The 25,733-nt window shown below is 42.3% G+C and overlaps 1 protein-coding gene and 1 long non-coding RNA gene across 7 annotated transcripts in view; one reads left to right on the forward strand and one right to left on the reverse strand.

Moving 5' to 3' along the window:
• SHISA9 (shisa family member 9) overlaps positions 1–25,733 on the forward strand; it is a 661,420-nt gene that overhangs the window by 280,030 nt on the left and 355,657 nt on the right. For all 6 annotated transcript variants that reach the window (XR_932915.3, XR_007064905.1, XM_011522642.3 and 3 more), the window contains exon 3: positions 21,767–21,922. Coding sequence is in view for 4 of the 6 variants with exons in the window: in XM_011522642.3 (XP_011520944.1) it covers positions 21,767–21,922 (156 nt within the window). In the remaining 2 variants the exon portion in view is untranslated. The remainder of the gene's footprint in view (positions 1–21,766; positions 21,923–25,733) is intronic.
• On the reverse strand, positions 15,964–21,658 carry LOC105371091 (uncharacterized). Its single transcript, XR_933092.3, has 3 exons — positions 21,574–21,658; positions 16,902–17,038; positions 15,964–16,028 (listed from the first exon to the last, which is right to left on the reverse strand). It is a non-coding gene; the product is annotated as an uncharacterized LOC105371091 (long non-coding RNA).

The following is a 25,733-nucleotide window of genomic DNA, read 5'->3' on the forward strand; positions in this document are numbered from 1 at the left end:
CATAGCTCGTGTGTTAGAGATTACCCTGACTTGTGAGTGGTTAATGGATTGGAAGTGAGTGAGAGAAAGAGAGGTATCTCAATAGGAGGTCCAGGTAGGAAACAATGCTGGTTTCATCTAAAGAGGGGGTGATGGAGATGGGGAGAAGGGGGATAAATTTGAAAAATGTTTTGAAAGGAGAATCTGAAGGTCACAACCTTTAAAATACCCTTGAGATGTGTGTGTTGGGCAGGAAGGGATTCAAGATTCACTTAGAATTATTTTAAGGGAACCAGCAAAGAATGAAGAGTGACATTAGGTGGAAATTCAACAAAGGTTTTGTTCCATGCGAGCAATAAGTATGGTGCAAAACAGCCATCAGGTGTGCAGGGACTGACGTGGGGAGGCAGAAATCGTGCCAGAGCCAATGGTGACCAGAAGCTACATAGTGATGGAACATCTAGCAAGCTCAGAGTAAATATGTAAAGAAAATAATTATGTCTGGGACATCCCAAGTTCTAACAATAGGTTTCACCTAAGTTGCCATAGTATCTCTCATTTATCTTTGTGGGTTCATTTTTGCCAGATAGTTTTGAAAATGGGGACTTCCTATAAAATAAGTGTCATTATTCTTATTTTATCGGTGAGGGACAGGGGACATCAGAGAAGTTAAGTAACTTACCTGAGGTCACATAGCCAAAAACTCCAAGCCTGGAGCTCATTGTATAAAACCATCCTCTGGGTTTAGGAATGTTTAGCTGAAAGAAGAACCTTTCCTTTCCTCTTTGATCAGGCATTCATATCACTTGCCCCTTTTTATTTTCCAGCAGGTCTCAGTGTATCCACTAATGATGATGGTGACCGGTTAGGTTTATAACACTGAGTCAAAGGTATAAGGGTTCTATTTTTCCTCTGATGGCCTCAGTTGTAGTAAATGTTGGGATTTCAGGTTAAAGTTCATCTCATTTGATTTCTTATAAATTTGGAATTGGAGCTTATGCAAATCTAGTGTTTCAGATATACAAACTAAGATGTTTTTCTGATGTCATTGCTGTGTACTGAACCACTCTACAACTTAATAAGCAATGGACACAGACCTCCACCACTAGGTGGAAAAAACGTCAACATCACTTTGCAAAAAATGCATTTGAGAGAGGGAGATATTGTGATGACCATCTTTGGAAACTTAGTAGCTTAAAACAACAACAACAAAAAACAATCATTTTATTATCTTCCATAGTTCTTGGAGTTGACTCTGTTCAGCTGTGCAGTTCCCACTCAGGGTCTGTCACACAGTTGCAGTCACACAGTGACTGGAGCAGAAGTCACCCTGAAGTTGCTTCTCTTACATGTCTGGCAATGGATACTGGCTGTCATCTGGAACTTCAGCTAGGGCTGTTGGCTGGAACATCTACACGTGGCTATTCATGTAGCCTGGGCTTCCCTACAGCATGGCCACTGAGTCCCAAGAAAGCAAGTAGAATTGCCTGGCATTTGATGACCTAGACACAAAATTCACAGGGCATAATTTCTGCCCTACTCCATTGGCCAAAGCAGTCACAAAGTTCTGCCTAAGTTTAATAAGAAGGGCCACAGACCTCCACCACTAGGTGGAAAAAATGCCAACATCACTTTGCAAAGTCCGTATGAGAGAGGGAGATATTGTGATGGTCATCTTCAGAAAATACAATCTGCCACAGATTAGGTAACACACTTGAAAAGTGTTAACACTATGTATTTGTGTACTTAGAAACCTTGAACACTTTCACTGCAAAGTAATCCATGGCTAGTGTTAGTAATAGAAGTTATAGTAAACAAGATCTCTTCCCAATGTACTTTCTGCTCCAGCTTCGCTGATTTTCGTAAGGTTCCTTAAAAGGCATAAAATGCTTTTTCATGGTTCTTTACCTTCATCCTTGTAGTTTCTTTGGACAGAAATGATCTCCCAACTGAGAGCTTAAAGATTCAAGAAACCGTCCCTGAATGCTCTGGATACATAATTAAGTCTCTATAAAGTGCCCTATCTTGGTTTCCACAACTATGTTTTCCTTTTGTGAATAACTCTATTAGGTTCTTTTTTCATAACTACCTATTCTCATTTCAGGTATGCAATGTACTCTCATCCTTCTGAGGATGTTAATTACACTTACTTTAAGGTCCTGATCTAATTGCTCTCTTGGCTCTGTTTCCATGGATTTGAATTCTTCCACTTTTGAGTTTATCTTTCCTATTTCATGGTGTTGGTATTATGCAGTTAGTGACCATGGATTGGATGTGAAGTTTTGTGATTGTGGTTCCTTGTTGACTCTGCTGGATTTGTTAGCATTATGTTCTTGTGGGAGGGGCGGACAGAAACTCTTATTACTGGCAGTTTCTTATCCACACTCTGGGGGAGGGACAGGAAATGTCACTCAGGAGACGGTTGGGCAGGTGGTCTTCTGGGTGGGGGCAGTTTTTCCTAAGCACCCTCCTCTACCCAGAGGATTGTTCTGTCCCTCCACTCCAAGAACTCTCAGTCATAGTAGCTGCCTCACTAAATTGAGAAGCCAGATGGTTTGGGAAGAGGCAGGATGGTTTTCAATCTACTTACCCACCTATTTCCATTCCACTGCCTCACATAACTAATCACCTGTAAACGTCCTCACCTGCTTTTGTTTCCAGACTCTATCACCGCTGGGATGTTTGAGCCTATCTTCTGCAGCTGTACTTTCTGCCTCAGATCCTGGGCTATGGATTCCCATCTTAAGCTAATCCCATTTAAGCTCCATATTTCAGAGAGCTCTCACCGTTTCTGGAACACCAGCAGTTACTCTACGTTTCTAAGTAGGGTGATGTCTTTGCATATTTTTTAAAAACTTTTTAAATTTACTTTATGATTTACATACAGTAAAATTCATTCTTTTGGGGATGGTTCTATGAGTTTTGACAAATGCGTAGAGTGCTGTAACTACCGCTGCAATCAAGACACAAAGTAGTTTTGTTCCCCCACCACCAATTCCGTTGTTCTGCACTTTTATGGCCTTTGTGAACCTGGCAGCCACTGCTCTGTCTTCTGTCCCTATAATTTTGTCTTTTCCACAATGTCTTATAAATTGAATCAGACAGTATCTGGCATTCGAGTCTGGCTTCTCTAACTTAGCATGATGCATGTATTAATAACAGTCCATTCATTTTTAATTCCTGAGTGTAATTTGTTTGTATGGATGTACCACAGTGTGTTTATGAATTCACCATTGAAGGATATTTGTATTGTGCTCAGTTTTTGGCAATTATGAATAAATCCACTTTAAACATTTGTACACAGGCTTTGTGTAAATAAAATTTTTTATTTCTCTTGATTACCTAGCAGTGGGATTGGAGGATCATATTGTAAGTATATGTCTAAAAAGAAACTATTTTCCCAAAAGAGCTGTAGCATTTTACATTACCAACAGCAAGGTGCAAGAGTTTCACTTGCTACATATCCTAAATTGAGACTTGGCATTGTCAGATTTGTGTTTTGGTTTCTGTTTTGCTTTTTTTGGTATTCTTACAGATATATAGTGATAACTCATTTTTGTATTATTTATGCATTTTAATGTTTATTTTTTATATCTTTGTTTGCTTGTTCTTAGAAACAGGGTCTTGCTCTATCACCCAGGCTAGAGAGCAGTGGCACAATCATAGTTCATTGTAGCATCAAACTCCTGGGCTTAAGTGATCTTCCTGCCTCAGTTTCCCAAGTAGCTGGGCCTACAGGGACATGACACCATGCCTGGCTACTTAAAAATTTTTTTGGTAGAGATGGAGGTCTTGCTATGCTGCCTAGGATGGTGTTGAACTCTTGGCCTCAAGTGATCTTCCCACCTCAGCCTCCCAAAGTGCTACGATTATAGTCATGGACTGCCAAGCCTGGGCCATTTTTTATATCTTGATTAACATTTTTAGAAATTTGGCATAGGAGGGATTACAAAAAGGCAAGCCCCAATTTGAAACAGATGTTGCCTCTAATCTCTCTTTGTACCTGCTTTTTAATAACCTCACATGTGTTACAAGGAAATTGTTTACCTGTTTCCCTCACTGGACTCTGAGCTTCTCAAAGGCAGGAGTGAGTCTTGTCCATTTTTCTTTCCTCAGTACCCAGAATGATGCCTAGCCTAGGATGGACACATGGTGATTATTTGATAAGTGAGTTGTTCATGAATAAATTTGCCCAATCTCTAATTAGAAAGGGTTTGATTTACTCAACAATCACCACCCTGAGCATTTTCAGAGGAAAATAAAATGGCTAGGTTGTTTTAATCAAGGACTGAGTTTTGTAAAACTGGAAATGTTATAGGGAAACGAGATAGGATCTAACATTGCAGAGCACTTCCGCATGCCAAGCACTAAGGGTGATATTCTCAGGACATATCTCATTTTACCCTACCTTGAACTCCATGGTAGCGAATTGGCTGGGACAGAGAGAACATTTGCTTTGGATGAAGCTGATTGTGTCTCTGAGGCTTGTGACCTTGAATAAGTGACTCACAGCCTCCCTTTGCCTCTGTTTTCTTATCTTCAAAATGAATACAATAATGCCTGGTTTATTGAATGGGTTTGAGAATAAAGGACATGTATGTGAAGCACATTGTTGTGTGTGTGTGTGTGTGTATGTGTGAAATTGTGGGGAAAAAAATAACATGAAATTTACCATCTTAACCTTTTTTTTTTTTTTTTTTTTTTTTTTTGAGATGGAGTCTTGCTCTGTCACCCAGGCTGGAGTGCAGTGGTGCGATCTCGGCTCACTGCAACCTCTGCCTACTGGGTTCAAGCAATTCTCCTGCCTCAGCCTCCTGAGTAGCTGGAATTACAGGTGCATGCCACCACACCCGGCTAATTTTTGTATTTTTAGTAGAGATGGGATTTCACCATGTTGGTCAGGCTGGTCTCGAACTCCTGACCTCGTGATACACCCGCCTCTGCCTCCCAAAGTGCTGAGATTACAGGTGTGAAGCCACCGTGCCCAGCCATCCATCTTAACCATTTTTAAGTGTACATTTCCGTAGAGTTTAGTACATTCGCATTGTTGTGCAACCAATTTCCAGAACTTTTTCATCTTCCCAAAATGAAACTCTGCATTGCTGAATAATAAATCCCAATCCCCGCTTCTCCAGCCCCTGGTAACCATTCTACTTTCCATCTCTATGAATTTGACTACTCCAGGGACCTCACAGAAATTAAATCATACAGTATTTAGTCTTTTTGTGACTGGCTAATTTCACTTAGCATAAATAATGTTGTCAAGATTTGTTCATATCATGGCATGGGTCAGAGCTTCCCTCCTTTTAAAGCTCAATTGTATTCCACTGGATGAGCAGACTACATTTTGTTTATCCATTCATCTGTCGATGGACACGTGGGTTGCTACCACCTCCTGGCTGTTGTGAAGAGTGCTGCTGTGAACACGGGTCTACAAATACCACTTCGAGATACTGCTTTCAGTTCTTTGGTTGACCTCTGTTTCACATGCAGCAGCACTGACTTCCCCGTTTCCCCCATTCCATGTGCCCTAGCAGACTCTGGAAGGCTAATTAATTTGCCTATGGCCTGACAACTTATGCATTGCTGGGGCAGGATTGCAACCCAAGTTCTCTGGCTCTGCATGACCCATTCTGTCTTCACAGCCTCACTATCTGAAAACTTCTCAGGAGGTAGGATTGGCACCTTGAGGGACAGAGAAGGCTTCTTTTCTTTTCTTTTCTTTTTTTTTTTTTTTTTTTTTTTTGAGGCAGAGTCTTGCTCTATCACCCAGGCTGGAGTGCAGTGGCACAATCTCAGCTCACTGCAGCCTCCACCTCCTGTGTTCAAGCGATTCTCCTGTCTCAGCCTCCTGAATAGTTGGAACTACAGACGTGCACCACCACACTGGGCTAATTTTTGTATTTTTAGTAGAGATGAGGTTTCCCCATGTTGGCCAGGCTGGTCTCAAACTCCTGATGTCTAGTGATCCACCCACCCCTGCCTCCCAAAGTGCTGGGATTACGGGTGTGAGCCATTGCGCCCAGCCCATCTGGGGAACTTTTGAAGGTCTAGAAAAGAGTAAGACTGATGATAGTGACCTTTGCTGTGAATTTCATAACCATTCACTTATACTTTTTCTGATAGATCCTTAAAAATGAAATTTCAAAGCAAAATGGGGAGATTTGCACCCTAACTTCAGTGGGGTTGTGAGTGGACAAAATGTACAAGGTTGTCGACAAAGTAGCATGCTTCCACACGTTGACCATGTGCAGCTTCAACCTAGATGATGCACAGTGAACATTTCATGAATAAAGCCTGATATGGGATTGTCTACAGGTTCCTCCAACCCCTGAGTAGAGATGTTCCCTCCTAGAGACTTGCTGTAGATCACGTTTCATCCTCCAACCGTGGGGGAAGTGTGCTGTGTTATTACCTGATCAATGTAGTATCTTTATTTTGGGGGAAAAGCTGAGCCTCATTTTTCTCATTTGTTATATTGCTTTCCTTTTGTGTGGTCATTTGCTGTCCCAGGCATCAAATGGTCCATAAACAAAACACTTACCCACTGCACACACACTCCAAAAAAGAGCAAACAAATTTCAGAGCAACCAAAATGTTGTTGCTAACCCAGTCCATGAAAGCTCATGCATTTTTCTTGGAGCAATGTCTGACTTTTAGGTAAAGCACCTTGCAAACTGCCTTGACACAGCAGGTGCCTGCAAAACATTTTCTTTTTCTCTTCCTTTCCTGGGTTAGAATTCAGATCCAGTAAGGAGTGAGGCTAAGTACTGGAAATGGAATGATGAAGGAGATGGACATCCGTCCTGACCTCAGAAAGGTGTGGGGAGGCTGGGCACAATGGCTTATGCCTGTAATCCCAGCACTTTCAGAGGCCAACGTGAGAGGATGGCTTGAGCCTAGGAGTTCGAGACCAGCCTTGGAAACACAGCAAGACCCCGTCTCTACAAAAATAAAAAAATCAGCCAGGCATGCTGGTGCATGTCTGTAGTCCCAGCAACTCAGGAGGCTGAGGTGGGAGGATCACTTGAGCCTAGGAAGTCGAGGGTGCTGTGAGCTATGATTGCGCCACTGCACTGCAGCCTGGGTGACAGAGCAAGACCCTGTTTCAAAAAAAAAAAAAAAAAAAAAAGGTATGAGGAAAACAAGAATTGAAAATAAATGAAAGTATTAATGTGAGTAAGGAAGAAAAGGAAAAGGAATGTTACAATATAATATTATATTGAAGTCCTATCACCCAGTACCCCCAGAATGTGACTTAACTGCAGATGCAATTAGTTGAGATGAAGCACACTGGAGTAGGATGAGTCCCTAATCCAATATGACTGGTCTCCTTATAACAAAGGGAAATTTGGATGCAGACACACACAGAGAATGCCATGTGAAGACAGAAGCAGAGATCCCCAAGCCAAGAAATGTCAAAGGTTGCCAGGTAACCATCAGAAGCTAGGAGAGAATCATGGAGAACCCTCCCAAGGAACTATCCCTGCTAATACCATGACCTCAGACTTCTAGCTCTGGGGACTGTGAGATTATAGATATATTTCCATTGTTTAAGCCACTCCATTTGTTGTTCTCTGTTATATTACCTTAGCAGATGAATACAGGGAGCTACAGGGGTATTTAGTGAGGGGATGAAGATTAGGGAGGTCGGTTGGTGGGCATGGTAGAAGGAAGATGCTCAAGGCAGAAGGAAGTTTCATTCCATAGAGGTGGCTCAATGCTGAACCTCCAGATTCTTCCTGATATGTGCTAGGGGCAGCTTAGCTTGACGGAAGAAACATCGATGTTGCCATCACACAAACCTGGCATCGAATCCTGATGTTGTTACAACATGCTGTGTGACTTTGGGAAAGCCACTCAACTTCTCTGAGCTTTGGTTTCCTTCTTTGTAAAATAGAATTGTTATACTTAGAGATATGAGGGTAAAAAGTTTTTACGTGGTTAATGTGCCTTTTTATTTGGCCTTTCTGAGTACACGACTTTTGTCTGAGTTAGCCTGTGGTAACCATCTGCTTTGGAGAGAAAGGAGAGAGAACGATGTGGAAGGCATGTGTTTAAGCTGAGACCTGAAAGATGGCTCAGAGTTAGTTTGGGGAAAACATAAAGGAGAGCAGAGGATTTTACAGAAGAAAACTGTATTTTTACATATGGTTAATTGTTACATGACAATTTATCCTAACGAGCTTGAGTATCTGGTTTCTAATTTCCTAACACATTAGAACTGCGAGTAAAGAAGGCTGCCTCTCACTATGTGGCTGGTAAAACAGACTGACAATGATGGAAGACAAAGGAAGACTACACGATAGAAGGAATTAGGAGGAGAGGGACGCAGAGGGAGGAGAAGAGAAGGGGCAGAAACTAAACAGCCATAGTAGGCTGGGGCTATTGAGTGAAGGGGCAAACATCTCCTGTTAATAGTATCTCATTAAATTGGATGAAGTGGCTGCTGTGGGCATAAAACACCCTTTAGTCTTTTTTTTTTTTTTATGCTTTAAGTTTTAGGGTACATGTGCACGTTGTGCAGGTTAGTTACATATGTATACATGTGCCATGCTGGTGCGCTGCACCCACTAACTTGTCATCCAGCATTAGGTATATCTCCCAATGCTATCCCTCCCCCCTCCCCCTACCCCACAACAGTCCCCAGAGTGTGATATTCCCCTTCCTGTGTCCATGTGTTCTCATTGTTCAATTCCCACCTATGAGTGAGAATATGCAAAACACCCTTTAGTCTTTAGAATGATGATGGTGAGCCACCAAGGGTGAGTTATGGGACGTTAGGGATGTTCTGTTTCAGAACTGATAACAATACATTGTGGTTTCTTCGTCCACATATACATGATGCTACTTCAAATCAAAATGGAACTCCTCCTCTTCTTTTTGCTGCCTTTGAAACTCTTGCAGAATACAGATGAGCAAGGCCCCCTGCCTTCTAAAACTGGATTAGGTGGCCCTCTCTTGTGCTTGCGCGGGAACCTCTGTTTTGCTGCTTCACATCATTCACCGTTGCTGGTTGCAACTAGTTCTTCATGTATCCCGCCATGCTGCGGATCTGCCTCCTACCCTAGACTGTTATCTATTTGCAGCACAACCGGGATTTTGAAATGAATCTCTGTCCCCCAGAGCCTGCATAAAAACTGGCTGAAAGTGAGCATTAAATAAATATTTAACAACTCTAGTTTTAAAATATTTCCATCCTAAATGGTTCAAATTTTTTTTTTAAGTTTTCATGCTCAAACATATAAACTCTTGGGTAACACCAATGCCTCATTTTCCAAAGGTTTTATGATTATATATGTGTTTTTTTTTCTTTATTGCAAATTCCTGCTGGTCTCTCTGCCACCAAGATTCAAAAAGATTCAATTCTCCTTCTACATAAACCTTTTCTGATGTAAGCCTAGGCTGCTATATTCTCTTTTGACAAATTCAGGGTAATTTTGAGTTGGATTGGATACTTCTTTTTTCCTTGCTTGTGGACAGAAAAAAACCTACATGGTATTTCAAACCATAATTTTAAGGATTTCCCTCAAAAAGGTTGCTGGCATAAAGATTTGGAAAGGTTAGAAAGAAAAACAGTGCTAAAAGCCAGAGCTCTGTTCTGATTTCTGAATGTCTATTCTCCTTTTTTGTTCTTATGAGACTAACTAGTGCAATTGGCCCCAGCAGGGACATCTCCTGCCCATTCCCTGTCATTAGTCTGGTTTTGAGGCAATGGAACAATCTAGACTATGTCCAAGAATTCTGAGCCCAGAGAGGACCTTATGGAAACCTAACATCCTCTTTTCCTCATGGCCACCTGTTATGTTGTCTTGGCTTTCTAAACAATTGGAGGCAATCAAGCAAGCTTTAGCTACCATATGTTGGGTGCTTACTATGTTTCAGTGCGTTGCTAAGCATGATGATCATAATGTATTTGAACCTCACAGTGACCCCATGAGGAAGCTGTTATGGTCCCAATTTAGAGCTTAGAAGACTGAGGCTTATATAGGCTTTATAAGACACCCAAAGATGCTGTTGGTAAGTGGAAGAGCAAAAATTTGAGTCCAAAATGGACTGACTAAAAACTCCATTCTTATTTCATTATGTTGTCCTGGATCGTGCTGTCTGTGGAGAGAGAGATGGCTGAGGCCACATCATAGGGTATAGAAGGTGTGTTGCAAACAGTGGAGATGAAGAATGTCCCTGGGCAGGACCAGTGTGGCCTCATGGGCTAGGCAAAAGCATGGTCCCTCTTGAGTATTGAAAGCTTTAGTAGAATTTTATACAAAAAAGACACCAGTACTTGTATGTTCATCGCAGCACTATTCACAATAGCAAAGTTATGGAACCAATGAAGTGGAAGGAGTGAGGGTTGGAAACTGTTGATGTGCTCATCAACAGTTGACTGGATAAAGAAAATGTGGTATATACACACTATGGAATTCTATGCAGCCATGAAAAAGAATGAAATCATGTCCTTTGCAGCAACATGGATGGAGCTGGAGGCCATTTTTCTAAGTGAACTAACTCAGAAACAGAAAATAAAATACTGCATGTTCTCACTTATGGATGGGAGCTAAACAGTAAGTATGCAGGGACATGAAGATGGAAATCACAGATACTAGGGACTGCAAAAGGGAGGTGGATGGGAAAGGAGTGAGTGTTGAAGATTACCTTTCAGGTACAATGTTCACTATTTGGGTGATGGCTACACTAGGACCCCGACCCTGACCTTTATATAATATGCCCATGTAACAAATATGCACAAATATGTATCTAAAATAAAATAAAATTTGAAAAAGAAAGCTTTGGAAAAATTTTATGAAATTCTTTAGTAAGTGGTATAAGAGCTGGGAATCGTTAACCAAGCACAATGCCTGGAACACCATAGACACTAAAATATGTGAGGAAGAATGGATGGATGAACCAAGCTGAAGAGGCAAGCACATAGGTAGGTTCCACCAGGAAGCAGGGTATTTCTAATTTGGGAGGAAACTTGTTTATTATCTGCATAGAACAGTAAGTTCTGTTCTCTGGATAGAAGAAACAGGCCGAGGCGGGTGGATCACGAGGTCAGGAGATCGAGACCATCCTGACTAACACGGTGAAACCCCATCTCTGCTAAAAATACAAAAAATTACCCGGGCGTGGTGGCACGCACCTGTGGTCCCAGCTACTTGGGAGGCTGAAGCAGGACAATCACTTAAACCCCAGAGGTGGAGGTTGCAGTGAGCTGAGATAGCACCATTGCACTTCAGTCTGGGCTACAGAGCAAGACTCCATCTCAAAAAAAAGAGAAGAAGAAGAAAGAAGGAGGAGGAGGAGAAGAGGAGGAAGAAGAGGAGGAAGAGGAAGAAGAAGAAGGAGGAGGAGGAAAAGAAGAAGAAGGAGAAGAAGAAACAAAAAAGCATAGATCTGGCCAGCAGTTTTCTCATCTGACTGGGAAATTTTGCAGGAAGAAGGAAGTTATTCAAGACAGAAGGAAGTTTCTGTCCACAGAGGTGGTTCAATGCGTGGTTCAATGCTGAACTTCCAGGCTCTTCTTGATCCATTCTGGGGGCAGCCTAGCTTGGTGAAGGAAACATTAGTTTTGCCAACAGACAACCTTGACATCAAATCCTGATACTGTTATAACATGCTGTGTGGCTTTGGGCACTCAACCTCTCTGAGCTTTGGTTTCCTTGTTTGTAAAATAGGATGGTTTAACTTAAGAGATGTGAGGGAAAGTTGTTTTTACATGGTTAATGTGCCTTTTCCTTTTTATTTGGCCTTTTTATTTTTTAGATGGAGTCTTGCTCTGTTGCTCAGGCTGGAGCACAGTGGCATAATCTCAGCTCACTGTGACCTCTGCCTCCTGGGTTCAAGCGATTCTCCTGCCTCAGCCTCCCGAGTAGCTGGTATTACAGCTACCATGCCCGGCTAATTTTTGTATTTTTTAGTAGAGATGGAGTTTCTCCATGTTGGTCAGGCTGGTCTCGAACTCCTGACCTCAGGTGATCCACCCGCCTTGGACTCCCAAAGTGCTGTGATTACAGGCATGAGCCACCGCGCCTGGCCAATTTGGCCTTTCTGAGCACATGACTTTTGTCTGAGTTAGCCTGTGATAACCATCTGCTTAGGAGAGAAAGGAGGGAGAATGAAGTGGAAGGAAACCCAGTCCACACAACTGTGTAGGGCCCATTGCCCCATAGTGGCAGGTTCTGTGGTAAGACCCCAGCTCTTGGGGTATCTGGTATCTCAGAGTTATTGGGGAGTGCCAACCAGGCAACCTTTTGGTTAGATTATATCCCTCTGTTTCTTAACTGGCTCAGCTGCCCTGTGACAGCTCAGAGCTTCACTATGAGCTCCTGCTAGAGTCTCAGAGGAAGCAGGACAAGAGACTCCTGCCTCAAGCATTTCCCACAACTCATCCAACATTCCTCCCCTACCCTGCATCTGAAACCCAAAGAGGGAAAGTCGGTGACATGATCTTAGTCTTCCTCCTCTCTCTTTCTTTTCCTTCTCACATCCCCCCAAGAACTGGAGGAGTCAGACATCCCATCCCATTCCTCTCTGGTCCATTCTTGTAAAAATCCTGTGGTCTTGCCAACCAAGTGCGGTCCTTAATATGCCGAAAGGTGGAGATTAAAAAAAAAAATTAGAACAAAACACCTTCCAAAGACAAATGTCTTCCAAATGTGCGTGACTTCACATTGTATTACTGTCTGGCTGCCAAATCATTTCTGAATGTTAGAGATTTGAATATTACCTCCTTCAGCAGCAATAAGGAAGTGCCTAAGTCCACAGATTCTAGAGTCAGACTGTCAGGTTCAAAGCTTGGCTCTGCTGTTTCCAGTGATGTAACTTTGGGCCAAACCTCTCTGTGCCTTGGTTTTCTCCTCTACAAAATGGAGTTGATAATAGTATCTCATAAGGATGCCTGGGATAATTCGATTAGCTAGTATATGGAATAGTGTGGGGTACCTCATAACCCCTTTATGTTTATTATGTATACAAGTGTGTCTTCACCTTCCTCATCATTATCAATATCATCATTTTTTGTGTTACTTCTGTAATAAATCTCAATTCCTCAACCCTACCCAGGCATATGGAAGTCATGGGCCATCCAGAGCCAAGCCCACACACTCAGGAAGACAAGAAGAGAAAAACACATTAAAAACTTAAAAAATACATAGTCCATAAGCACTGTGTTCTAGTTGATAAAGTTGTGTCCCATGAGGATATGGGTTAACAATTCTGATATTGCTATAATTATGTACTGGAATTGAACAAGTAACAAATGGATGGTGGATAATGGGAGCCAGGTTTATTATTCTTGGAGTGGGAGGTTACAGATAATCGAGGGAGGAAGCTAGAATGATTCATCTGACAGTGAGTTAGAGTTGGAGACATCAGGATGACTTCATGCTTAGGTCAATATAGACACGGATAGTTGCTTCTGTAAATTTTTGTAGATATGTGTGTATATACATATATTAGCATACATATCTAAATTCCCTTACCTTGTCAGCATAGAGGGAGTAGAAAAAACCAGCACACCTGGCACCTAGATTTTGGTTTCTAATATTATTCTCCAATAAAATGAACCAGGCTCCTTGAAGAAATGGTTGATTCTTGGACCAGGATAACAAATCTATACAAGATGAGCCTGGGGAATCTTGTATTGCCAGAAAGTTAGAAAGTTTAAAAATGAGGGGAATCTGTCAAAGGAGACAATTGAAATAGTTTCCGATTCCCAAATTTGGAACAATCTGAGCAACAAAACAAAATAAAGTGGTAGTGGATTATAACCCAAGGTATAAAATACATATCCATGTGTCTACACTGATATGAATACATGATTGAATCAATACATAAATGAGGAAGAAGAGACAAATCTTCCATGAGGAATAATTCCAAATAGTTTATGTAGATATTTCTTCCACTCAAGGAGGTAGAGCATAACCCCTACTCCTTAGATACGGTGTGAATGGCACACAGTGACTTCTTTCCAAAGAGTAAAATGTGAAAAAAGGGGAAAATAGAATAATTTTATAGAGGAGAAATCTGTCCAACACTTCCTAAGCCAGGCAATAGTTTAACATCAATAGCGATGAGTCATTATAGTACATATTTTTGCTATGTTATGAGAATGTCACTTTACCTCAGTGATTCCCCTCACTCCCAAACCCATAACCCCAATCTAATCATGAGAAAAATATGAGACAAATTCCGTTTGGCCAGGCGTGGTGGCTCACGCCTGTAATCTCAACACTTTAGGAGGCTGAGGCAGGCAGATCACCTGAGGTCAGGAGTTCAAGATCAGCTTGGCCAACATGGTGAAACCCTGTCTCTACTAAAAATAAAAAAATTAGCCAGGTGTGGTGGTGTGTGCCTGTGGTGCCAGCTACTCGGGAGGCTGAGGCAGGAGAATCGCTTGAACCCGGGAGGCAGAGGCTGCAGCGAGCTGAGATTGCACCACTGCACTCCAGCCTGGGGGACAGAGCAAGACTCTCTCTCAAAAAAAAAAAAAAAAAAAAAAAAAAAAGGCCAGGTGTGGTGGCTCACGCCTGTAATCCCAGCACTTTGAGAGGCTGAGGTGGGCGGATCACGAGGTCAGGAGATTGAGACCATCCTGGCTAAGACGGTGAAACCCCGTCTCTACTAAAAATACAAAAAATTAGCTGGGCGAGGTGGCGCGTGCCTGTAGTTCCAGCTACTCGGGAGGCTGAGGCAGGAGAATGGCGTGAACCCAGGAGGCGGAGCTTGCAGTGAGCCGAGATTGCACCACTGCACTCCAGCCTGGGCGACAGAGCGAGACTCCGTCTCAAAAAAAAAAAAAAGAAAGAAAAAAAAAAGTCCATTCTACAAGATATCTGACCCTGTACCCCTCAAAACTGTCAAAGTCATCAAAACAGGGAAAGTCTGAGAAACTGTCACACGCAAGAGGAATCTAAAGAGATATGACTAAATTCTAAGTTTAATATGGTACCTAGATATTTTGAAACAGAAAAGATGGACATTAGGTAAAAACTAAGGAAACTCAAATAAAGTGTGGGCTTTAGTTAATAGTAACATATCAAAATTGATTCATTCACTGTGACAAATATACCACACTAATATGTTAATAATAGGGAAACTGGGTCTGGAGGATACAGGAACTCTCTGTACTATCTTTGCAGTACTTTTGTAAATCTAAAACCGTTTCATAGTAAAGAGTTTGTTTAAAAAATTTATTGTTTGAGGCCAGGAGCGGTGGCTTACGCCTGTAATCCCAGCACTTTGGGAGACTGAGGCAGGCAGGTCACCTGAGGTCAGGAGTTCAGGACCAGCCTGGCCAACATGGCGAAACCATATCTCCACTAAAAATACAAACATTAGCCGGACATGGTGGTTCACACCTGTAATCCAGCTACTCGGAGGCTGAGATGGGAGGATCACTTGAACCTGGGAGGTGGAGATTGCAGTGAGCTGAGATCATGCCACTGCACTCCAGCCTGGGTGACAGAGTGAAACTGTATCTCTCTCTCTGTACATACACACACACACACACACACACACACACACACATATATGTGTATATATATATAGAGAGAGAGAGAGAGAGAGAGAGATAACATGAGAAGCTCTTTTCCTACTGTCTGGAACACGGTGTGTGCTCGACAAAACAACACTATTTGACCATCTAGTGCCTTTCTGGGCTATTCCTCCTTGGGATATGCTTTGAAGGAGTCATTATGTTGTCTTTCCTTTAAGATGAGCCAGAATGGTCTAGTTTCTGACAGTTAATATTTGTCTCTTCTGCATGGAGAGACTTGGAGCATTCTCTCAGTATTTATAACTGAGCATTTTTACCTTAAGTGGCTCTGAGTTGCATCCGTTTTATTTCCCTGTTTAGTAACTAAGATATCCCACACAACAACAGGAGTTACACGGTAGTTACCTTGGCGCAAGTCTGCCAGATGCTTCCAATGAGTAATTGTATCTTAACCTTCTTTGAAGACGATTGTTGGATATACGAGGCTCCTTCTCTGTCTTAGGAAGGAGAGCACAGGACACCATCAATTTGTCGTTTGTGGACCAAGGGTCTGCATGGAAAAACAGCATCACAGAAGGGCAAGTCTTCATTCATTATTTCGAAGGGTCGTAATGAGTTGCGCTTATAATGGGTGGAGGGGGGAATTTTCTTGTGGCATTGGATAAGGAGTACCTTTCCACAGAGGTGGGTAAGATATCTCTGGGGATGGGGAATGTCTAGAAGGGAACTTCTGAGAGTGAGACATGTTACTGGATTCCATCTATTGCTATGACTGTGGAAAAGAAATTATATATGCGGGCCGGGCGAGGTGGCTCATGTCTGTAAGCCCAGCACTTTGGGAGGCCAAGGCGGGCAGATCACCTGAGGTCAGGAGTTCAAGACCAGCCTGGCCAACATGGAGAAGCCCCTTCTCTACTAAAAACACAAAAATTAGCCGGGCTTGGTGGCACATGCCTGTAATCCCAGCTACTTGGGAGGCTGAGGCAGGAGAATCACTTGAACCTGGGAGGCGGAGGTCACAGTGAGCTGACACCACTCCACTGCACTCCAGTCTGGGCGACAGAGTGAGACTCCATCTCAAAAAAAAAATTAATATATGTGTGTATATGCATACATATATACTTGTGTGTATATGCATACATATATACTTGTGTGTATATGCATACATATATACTTGTGTGTATATGCATACATATATACTTGTGTGTATATGCATACATATATACTTGTGTGTATATGCATACATATATACTTGTATGTGTATGTACATATGCATACATATATACTTGTATGTGTATGTACATATGCATACATACATATATACACACACGTACACACATGCATATTTCTTCTCTCAACTTGGCAAGGGCAGGATTTGCAGATTATAACCTAGATCTCATTCATGCTGCATTTTTTCACTCACCCTATTGTTCTAGTTTTCTTGGATTCCAACCTGGGCTTATCTCCAATCTGCATTTTTTTTTGTTTCTCCTCCCTAGCTGAATATATTTGTGGAAAACTCACAAAGCAACTGGGTTGCCAGGTCTGGTCTCTATCTTCCTGTCCAGTGAAAAGAAAATGACATTTAGAAAACCTAGTCACAAATGTCTGTTTAATAAATTTTGTTTGTTGCCCTGAAACTGGATTTTAATATTTCTGAATATTCAGTGCCTGGAAGCTAGCACAAAATGGCTATCTAAAACTGCCAGAAATTTGCTTTATGTGGTTCTTAATGTGAAACTGGAAATGCACCTTCTGGATGGTGTCACTTCTTTTGAGAGGGATCGCTTTGGTGGGGTATTATGGTTGTGTCTACTTATATTAAGTAACTACTCACTGCCCCTGAGGTGTCTCAGGACTTGGGATAAATAATCTAAAAGCAAATACTTTATAATGGAATATCATGTATTCTGTTTAATAATATAAAAGTGTGTCCCAACATATTCAGTGAGGAACATCTCTGTAGAATTATTTTTTTTCTTTAACGAAGTGTTTAGTATTTTCTCTGGCAGACCTGGACACAGGGTTTGAGCCTAGTAGGTTGAGTCTGAGACTGACGGATCAAACAGATGAGAGAAAGGACTTATACTGGAGGATAATAGGCTTTGAAGGTTCAAATCTTTAATTAGACAGTCTAGTGTTTGGGATGTATTTCCAGGGGTAGGGGGGCCTACCATTGAGACATTAGTTAGCTTACTAATGTCCTTGGGCACGCTCTATGCACGAGTCAGCCAAATTGTTGTTTGAAATTTCTGCTGTAGCTCTGTAGAAAACTGAGGGGCAATGCATTTTCCATCTCGAGGCAATACCTGGGTTTGCCCCATGGACAGCCTTCCCTCTGGTCAGTTTCAGCTTCCCAGAGGAAATCCAGACAACAATTGCCTTAGTCAGAACTCTACATTGCAAGTGGCAGGAGCCAGGAGCCACAAAAAACACTCTTTAGAAAGGGGCTTCTCTCTCTCCTCAGCTGCTTTCCTGTGGGTGTGATTCTTATTCTTTAATAATGAAGAAAGATTTTCTCCACATGGTAGGTTCAAATTCACTTGACTTCATGGCCTTTTCGTTGTTTGACTCCAATGGTTCCAAGTAGAAAAGTTGATGGAAGATGGAAGAACTCTGATTGGCCCAGCATAGATCACATGCTCTCCTCTGGTCCAATCATCATTATAAGAAGGAGGTATTGGGATTGGTTTGATTCAGGCTCCATGCTCGCTTCCATGGCCAGGGGTCTGAATTACTGTATAGCACAATGAGCCCTCGCTAGCTGGGCACATACTCACCTGCTTTTCAACTGCCAGCTCTTACATCCCTGAGCGAGGGTATCTCTGGCCACTGGAGCTAGCTTTGCCTGTGAACATGGGAAGTTGCCAGTGCTAACGAATTAACATCTCCCGGAAGCAGCTCTCAACCAATGACTAATAGGAGTTTGTGTGTAAATACTAAGGGGTCCTTTGCCCTTGGGGTGACATAATTTTGAGGCATGCATTCAATACGATTTACCAGAATTCCAGAGTGGGATTAAACTCCAGTCGACCACATTGCATCTTGCTTGGCATTGCACTTTATTTGCTTCTTCTTGTTCTCTAACTCCCCCATCCTTTTGCTACAAGTATTTCCTGAGATCACCTGCCAAATATGCTTGCATTTAAGTCCTTTGGTATGTTTCTTTATCCTTTATCGCCACTTGAGTTGTGTGATGAGCTGCCAATCACGGTAACTGTCTTAGTTTGTGTTTCCCCGGAAGTCACTAAGATAAGGACTTTGCACAAAAACAGTAGCTATCCACCAAAAAATATATCATGAAACACACACACACACACACACACACACACACACAGCAGCAGCAGCAGCAGCAGCAGCATACAATGAGAACTTAACAGTAAGCCATTTCCCACAGGACCAATACTTGGGAACAAAACATGGCTGGCCTGACATGCCCAGGGGAAGCAGACAGGAACCCTGGTGGGTTGGCTTTGGAGAGGAGAATGTCAGAGGATCTTGGGCTCCAAGGTGTGGTGAAAGCCATACCTTATCAACACCTTTTCTACTGTTACTTTATTAATCCTGGGACTCTCCCATCGCAGCTGAATCTCGGCCAAAAAGCTATCGTGGTAGAAGGATACATGCGTCTCTCCAGACGTTGGCCAAAGACTGGGTTACTTGGCACTTATGTTTGGCGACATTCCCATTTAACACTTGGGCTTGTGTGATGGCCCATGCAGGTAAAGTGATAAAAATACTGTCCCTAACCTCATGCCTCAGCTAGGGTATCTCTGCCTGTTTCCATTTGGGTTTGTTGGTTTCTAAAGCCACACATTTTCCGTATGCATCAGGGGTTGAGTTATCTAAAAGCAAAGCCTGGGAAAGGGGTTCAGATGCATGTGACTTTGAGGGAGTGTTCTTCAGGTAACAAATAAACACACACCTCTAAGGTTATGAGGGAAGCAGTGTAGGAAAGGTTAGGGAGCCACACAAAAATGGGGCTCCAAGTAAAGTCCAGATTCAGGGGTTGTCAAACTATAGCCCTTGGGTCAAACTTGGTACCACCTGTTTTTGTAAATAAAGTTTTATTGGAACACAGCCACACCCATTTATGTAGTTGTCCCACGGTATCCATGGGGATTTGGTTTCAGGACCCTCCAAGGATACCAATATCAACAGATGCTGAAGTCCCTTATAAAAAAATGGCATAGTATTTGCATATAACCTACTCACATCCTCTCATATACTTTAAGTCATCTCTAGATTACTTATAATACTAGTACAACACAGATGTTATGTAAATAGTTGTTACACTGTATTTTTACTTGTATTATTTTTAACTATTGTATTGTTATTTTTAATTTTTTTCTGGGTATTTTCAATTCACAGTTGGCTGAATCCAAGGGTGTAGAACCTGTGGATACAAAGAGTCAACTGTCTTCTGTCTAGGGCTGCATTCATGCTACAAAGGCAGAGTTGAATAGTCAAAGCAGAGACTGATGGCCTATGTAGTCTAAAATGCTTACTACCTGGCCCTTTACAGAAAAAGTTTCCCGACTCCTACTCTAAACTTGTCCCAGTCCATGTGAACTCTGAAGTATCATCATTTCATAAAGTTATCCCCATGTTGAGGCAAGGGGCTGGTCTTTGGACTTCAGTGTCAGCGGGACATTGGTTGCTGACCACTTGAGGATGAGGTGTGTGAAGCATATTGACCCCAGGGCAGTGGCTCCTATCAGCCAAGAGCAATTCTCTGGGTATTGAAGGCAGCTGTGAGCTGTTAGCAGCCAACATTTGCAGCAGCTGGGAAATGGGTTCACATACTAGATAAAGGGGATCTTTCAAGGCACCACTGGCAACCACCGCAGTGCATACCTGGATGGACACACATGCTTCATGAAGCCAGAGGGAACCCATACTTTCCACCTCAAAGTGAGCCATCATTATCTCCCAGTGATGGGATGGATAGACAGGAGGCGAGACCCATTCCCATTTGGGTCTCGCCTCCTGTCTATCCATCCCATTGCTCTCAGGATGAAGATGGTGACACTTACCAGTGTTCACTGGGTCCTGCCACCCTCTCCAACCCCACCTCATTCCAGTTTCCTTACACTGTATTCTCTAGCTGTGCATGGCCAGAGCTCAGAGGGCAATTCCTTCCGTTGCTGAGCATGTTGGGTTCCATCCAGCTCCACGGCTTTTGCTCATGCTGCTTCCTCTGCCTGAAATACCCTCCCTCATATCTTCCACCTTCCACCACACTGAACTATTATAACAACCCTCCTTCCTGTAGATCTCAGCTCAGAAAAACCTTCCTGAATCTCTCTTTCCTTGAATCTCATTTCCCTTCAAGCAGCCAATATTTAGTTTGTTTGTCTTTACATTTGTTTGTGTCTTGTGCAAACTTGTAGTATGCAAAAATATACACATAGGTTATATTACTTAACAAAAAATGCTATACTATTTGCTTTCCTTTAAAGCTTCCTTTTTTCCCTTTAACAATATAAACCATAAGAAACTGTTCAAGTTTTCCTTCATTTTTTCTAACACCTGAAAGATATTCCATCATATGTGTACATACTATGTACATCATATGTATTATAATAATTCATTTAAGAATTCCCATATTGATATGAGCTCAGATTGTTTCTGTGTATGTGTTTTCATTTTTACAAATAATGGTGCAAAAACATCTCTGAACAAATATCCTTACATTCTGATGCTTTTATTTCTGTAGGCTCAGTTGCTAAAAGTGGTATTGTTCAGTCAACATATACATACGCTTTACATTTCAATACTCAGTGCCTGATTTCTTCCTGCAAATATAGGAAATTGCATGTCCACCAGCAGCTTTAAGAGGCCTCCCTGTGCTCAGCATCTCTGCCAGTACTCATGTCCTTCAATCCCTTTAACATCTGCCAATCTGTTGGCAAAGGAATGGCTTCTCATTGTTCTTCTGACTTCCATTTCTTTGACTGTTACTGAGATTGGGCATCTTTTTATACAAATATCATTTCATTGACAAAAATAACCTCTCTACTGAAAGGACCTTAACATGTTAGTTTAACATGTTTTGAGCACATCTTTTGAGATGATGTCAGAAAAACACCCACCTGTCCTCATTTGCTCTCCAGTGAAGACTATGAACTCAATTGTGTCCCATGTATCTGTGAACCCTCTGCTGTTTTGCGACTTGCGTCCCTAAAGGGTGGGGAGAGTTTTGGTCTCCAGTGATGTGGTGATGGGAGGGAAGGTAGATGGTTCTGCCCTGTCTGTGACAATCTCCTTCTGTGTCTTCACTTCCAGATGCCACCCAGATGAACAACGCAGTGCCCACCTCTCCTCTGCTCCAGCAGATGGGCCATCCACATTCGTACCCGAACCTGGGCCAGATCTCCAACCCCTATGAACAGCAGCCACCAGGAAAAGAGCTCAACAAGTACGCCTCCTTAAAGGCAGTCGGTAAGTGCCACCTGATGGATCTTTTTCTCTTTCTCCTCTTCGCTCTCCTTTGCTGCTTCTTGTAGATCTCTTTATCTCCAGTTTTCTTTCCTAATTCCTTTTTCTAGCTCTCTTTTTTTCTCTTTCTGCTTTTCTCTGCCTCTATCTCATTTTTGTTCTCTCTCTGTCTATAAATATGTATATCTATATATCTATCTATGTCTGTCTATGCATTCATTCATCCATCCACCTATACACTCTATCCATCCATTCATCCATCCACCTATTCACTTATCCATCTACCTACCTACATATGTATTATCTATCTGTCTGTCCATCCATCCATCCATCATCCATCCATCTACTATTCACTTATCTGCCTATCTATTATCTATTGAATCTATCTACCTATTATCCTATCATCTGTCTGTCTATCATCTATCAATCCATCCACCCATCCACCTATTCACTTATCCATCTATCTACCTACCTATGTATTATCTATCTATCATCCATCCATCCATCCTTCTATCCATCTACCTATCCACTTATCTATTATCTATCTATATCATCTGTCTACCTATTATCTATCATCTAACTACCTATTATCTATCTATCTATCTATCTATCTATCTATCTATTTATCTATCATCTTTCTATCTACCTATTATCTGTCTGTCTGTCTATCTATCTATCTATCTATCTATCTATCTATCTATCTACCCATCTTCTGGGTCTCTCTACCTGGGACCCAGGTTTCTAAGGACCAGAGACCCTCAGCTGCTTTCTCTGACCTAGAACAAGTTCTACATTGCTGTGTGAGGCAGGGTGGCTGGGCGAGGGGCACATGTGCGGTGAGGGCTATTTCCTGGGGAGAAGAACCTGGATGCTCATTTGGTCCCACTGACACTTTAACCCCTTTACCATCTCCATCTACCCTAGCTGATCCTCAGGGAATCTTGACATAGAATCTAGGTCTCTCCATCCCAGAAATGCCTTATACTTTAGTGGGTAACACCCTTCACCTACAAAGTCCATCCCATTTCTAAGAAGTTGGTAAACAATGCACGTTCCTATCCCAGGCAACTTCTGCTCTTCAGGATTTAAGTATTTACGGGAGTGGGCAGCCTGGGGCTGCTACTAATGGAGTTCTTACCAAGTGCAAGACATTGAATTAAACCCTTGTTTTCTCATAGTGATTCCAAGGTGAAGACACAATGATTATCCCAATTACCAGATTAGAAAACTGAGACTCTAAGAGGCTAATATAACTTGCCCAAGTCAAGCAGCAGTGGGTGACAGAGCTGAGAATTGAACCCTATTTTTATCCCTCCAGAGCCACTGCTTCCACCACTGTCCTGGTTCCTTCAGTTCATTCTTCAATTTAAACATGAGGGGGTGTGATAGTTACCCTGACAGTGACTGAGGCTCCTGAACAGTTTGCTCATAAAAGGGTTCTATTGGATAGAAGCAACAGTCACAGAAAGCAATTCCTGACTCCTGATTGGCTGTGGCAACCTCAGGGTTCCCTAAATCAATGGTTCTCACATGTGGATGCCAATTACTAGAATCACCTGGAGAGCAGGTAAAATATAAGGATGCCCCAGGTCCACCCTGGAGATTTCAATTGAACTGGTTGAGGATAAGATTCAGACATGGGCATTTTTAAAGCACTCTGTGGCTGTTTCTAGTGTGAAGCCAGGGGTGACAGCCATTCATGAAAACTACTTCATCAGTCCCACATCCAGGAAAACCAAATCCTATTTCAAATGCTTGCTCTGAATTTCCTCTTCTAATGACCTTAATACATGGGGGAAATTCCTTTTCTTTCCTTCTCACTGTGTCCTGTGAGCTCTAAGTTTTTCTCCCTGTCTCAGAGGAGAGATTTTAAAGCCAGGCTTTCCACTTAACCTGATTCTTCTGAGTCTATTCCTTGGGGAGCTAGAAAGAGCCAAACAGATGTGAGTTCAAATCCTGGCTCTACTGCTTACCATCTGTGTAGCCTTGGGCAACATTTGGCCCCTTTTTAAGGTCTCAGTCTTCTAATCTGTAAAATGGGCCTAAGGATGCCTGTGATGACTCATATTATAGACTGGTAAAGGACATTCATTCAACATACATTTGTCACCTCCCTTCTCCAGAGCTCCCTGGTCTTGTTTCTAGTAGCCCCATGGATGAATCCTTTTCTCATTTCCATCTTAGAGCATGCTCAGATATCATAGGAAGGTCTTCTTCTTCTTTTTTCTTTTTTGAGACAGAGTCTCACTGTGTCACTCTGGCTGGAGCGCAGTGGCACGATATCGGTTCACTGCAACATCCGTCTCCGGAGTTCAAGTGATTCTCCTGCCTCAGCCTCCCGAGTAGCTGAGGTTACAGGCATGCACCACTATGCCTGGCTAATTTTTTTTTTTTTTTTTAAGTAGAGATGGGTTTCTCCATGTTGCTCAGCTGGTCTCGAACTCCTGACTTCAAATGATTTTCCCAGCTTGGCCTCCCAAAGTGCTGAGATTACAGGTGTGAGCTACTGCACTTGGCCAGGAAGGACTTCTTTAAACATTCTCCTTTTCCAACATGGAGTCCTCACCTTCCCAGCAGAATTGACTGTCAGAAGCTCCGAAGCATTAGAACAATTCACTTTGAGTGGAATCCCATTTATTGGTAGAGGTCTTCTACTCTTTAGTTATTCATAAAATTTATTTATTTATCTATTCTCACATAGTTTTGGTTCCCGAAAAACTCTGGGCAGGCAGAAAACCCCACAAACCATATACTTTCTTTTATTATCAACTGTTCATCCTATTTTCTCCCCCCACTGCCAAGCCCCTCATTGGAGATGGGATGAGAGATACTTGCTGATCGATTTCAGTATGAAATATGCTAATCCTGTTATAAACTAACACCAGAACCCAAAGCACTGACACAACCATGTGTCTAAGATGCATGTGGTAACCATAATCAACACACATCAGATTCACAAAACAAGCATTTTGGTGCCTAGCATAGGGCCAGGCACTTCCTAGGTGCTTAGCCAGTGCTTATACCAGAAGTCTATGTTTGGGAATTCATGTTCCCTGATCTCTTAAGATTTCCAGATGGAATCATTCAAATAGTGACTGAGCCAAATTTATAATACCAAGGACACAGGATGTGCAAACTGACACAGGCTTTTCTAAATCTGAAGCCTTGTAAGACCCTACGTACTGGTTACCCATGTTTCACATTGAATTTCTATGCCCAGCTCAACCCTCGTTATGTCCCATGACCACAGATTCCTTCTATTCCATATTGCCTGTTTGCACAGCATATGCATCCTAACTGCATTCAAATATACTCAGTGTTACTAGGAAGGGATGAGGGCTGTTACCTAGGAGAGCAAGAGTCACGGCATCTTTGCCAGTGTAACTGTGGAAGCCTTCATATGCTATTTGGTGGCCCACTTCCCTTTCTGAGCCTCGCAGTTAGATGATAAATAACATATGCCATTTTATTTTATTCTTCTTTAGGCATTTAAAAAATCAACAGGCCAGGAGTTGAAGACCGGCTTGGCCAATATGGCAAAACCCTGTCTCTACTAAAAATACAAAAATTAGCTGGGCATGGTGGCAGGCACCTGTAATCCCAGCTACTTGGGAGGCTGAGGCATGAGAATCACTTGAACCTGGGACGCGGAGGTTGCAGTGAGCGGAGATGGTGCCACTGCACTCCAGTATGACACCCAGTCGCTCCCTGGGAAAATAGCAGAGGGATATTCTAACAGAAATTCCTTGATTTTATCCAAGATTTATGTGGAGCTCCTCTACATGGCAAATGTCTGCAATGCATTTGGGATTAA

This window comes from Homo sapiens, chromosome 16 (assembly GCF_000001405.40).
Source record: "Homo sapiens chromosome 16, GRCh38.p14 Primary Assembly".
Classification (NCBI taxonomy): domain Eukaryota; kingdom Metazoa; phylum Chordata; class Mammalia; order Primates; family Hominidae; genus Homo; species Homo sapiens.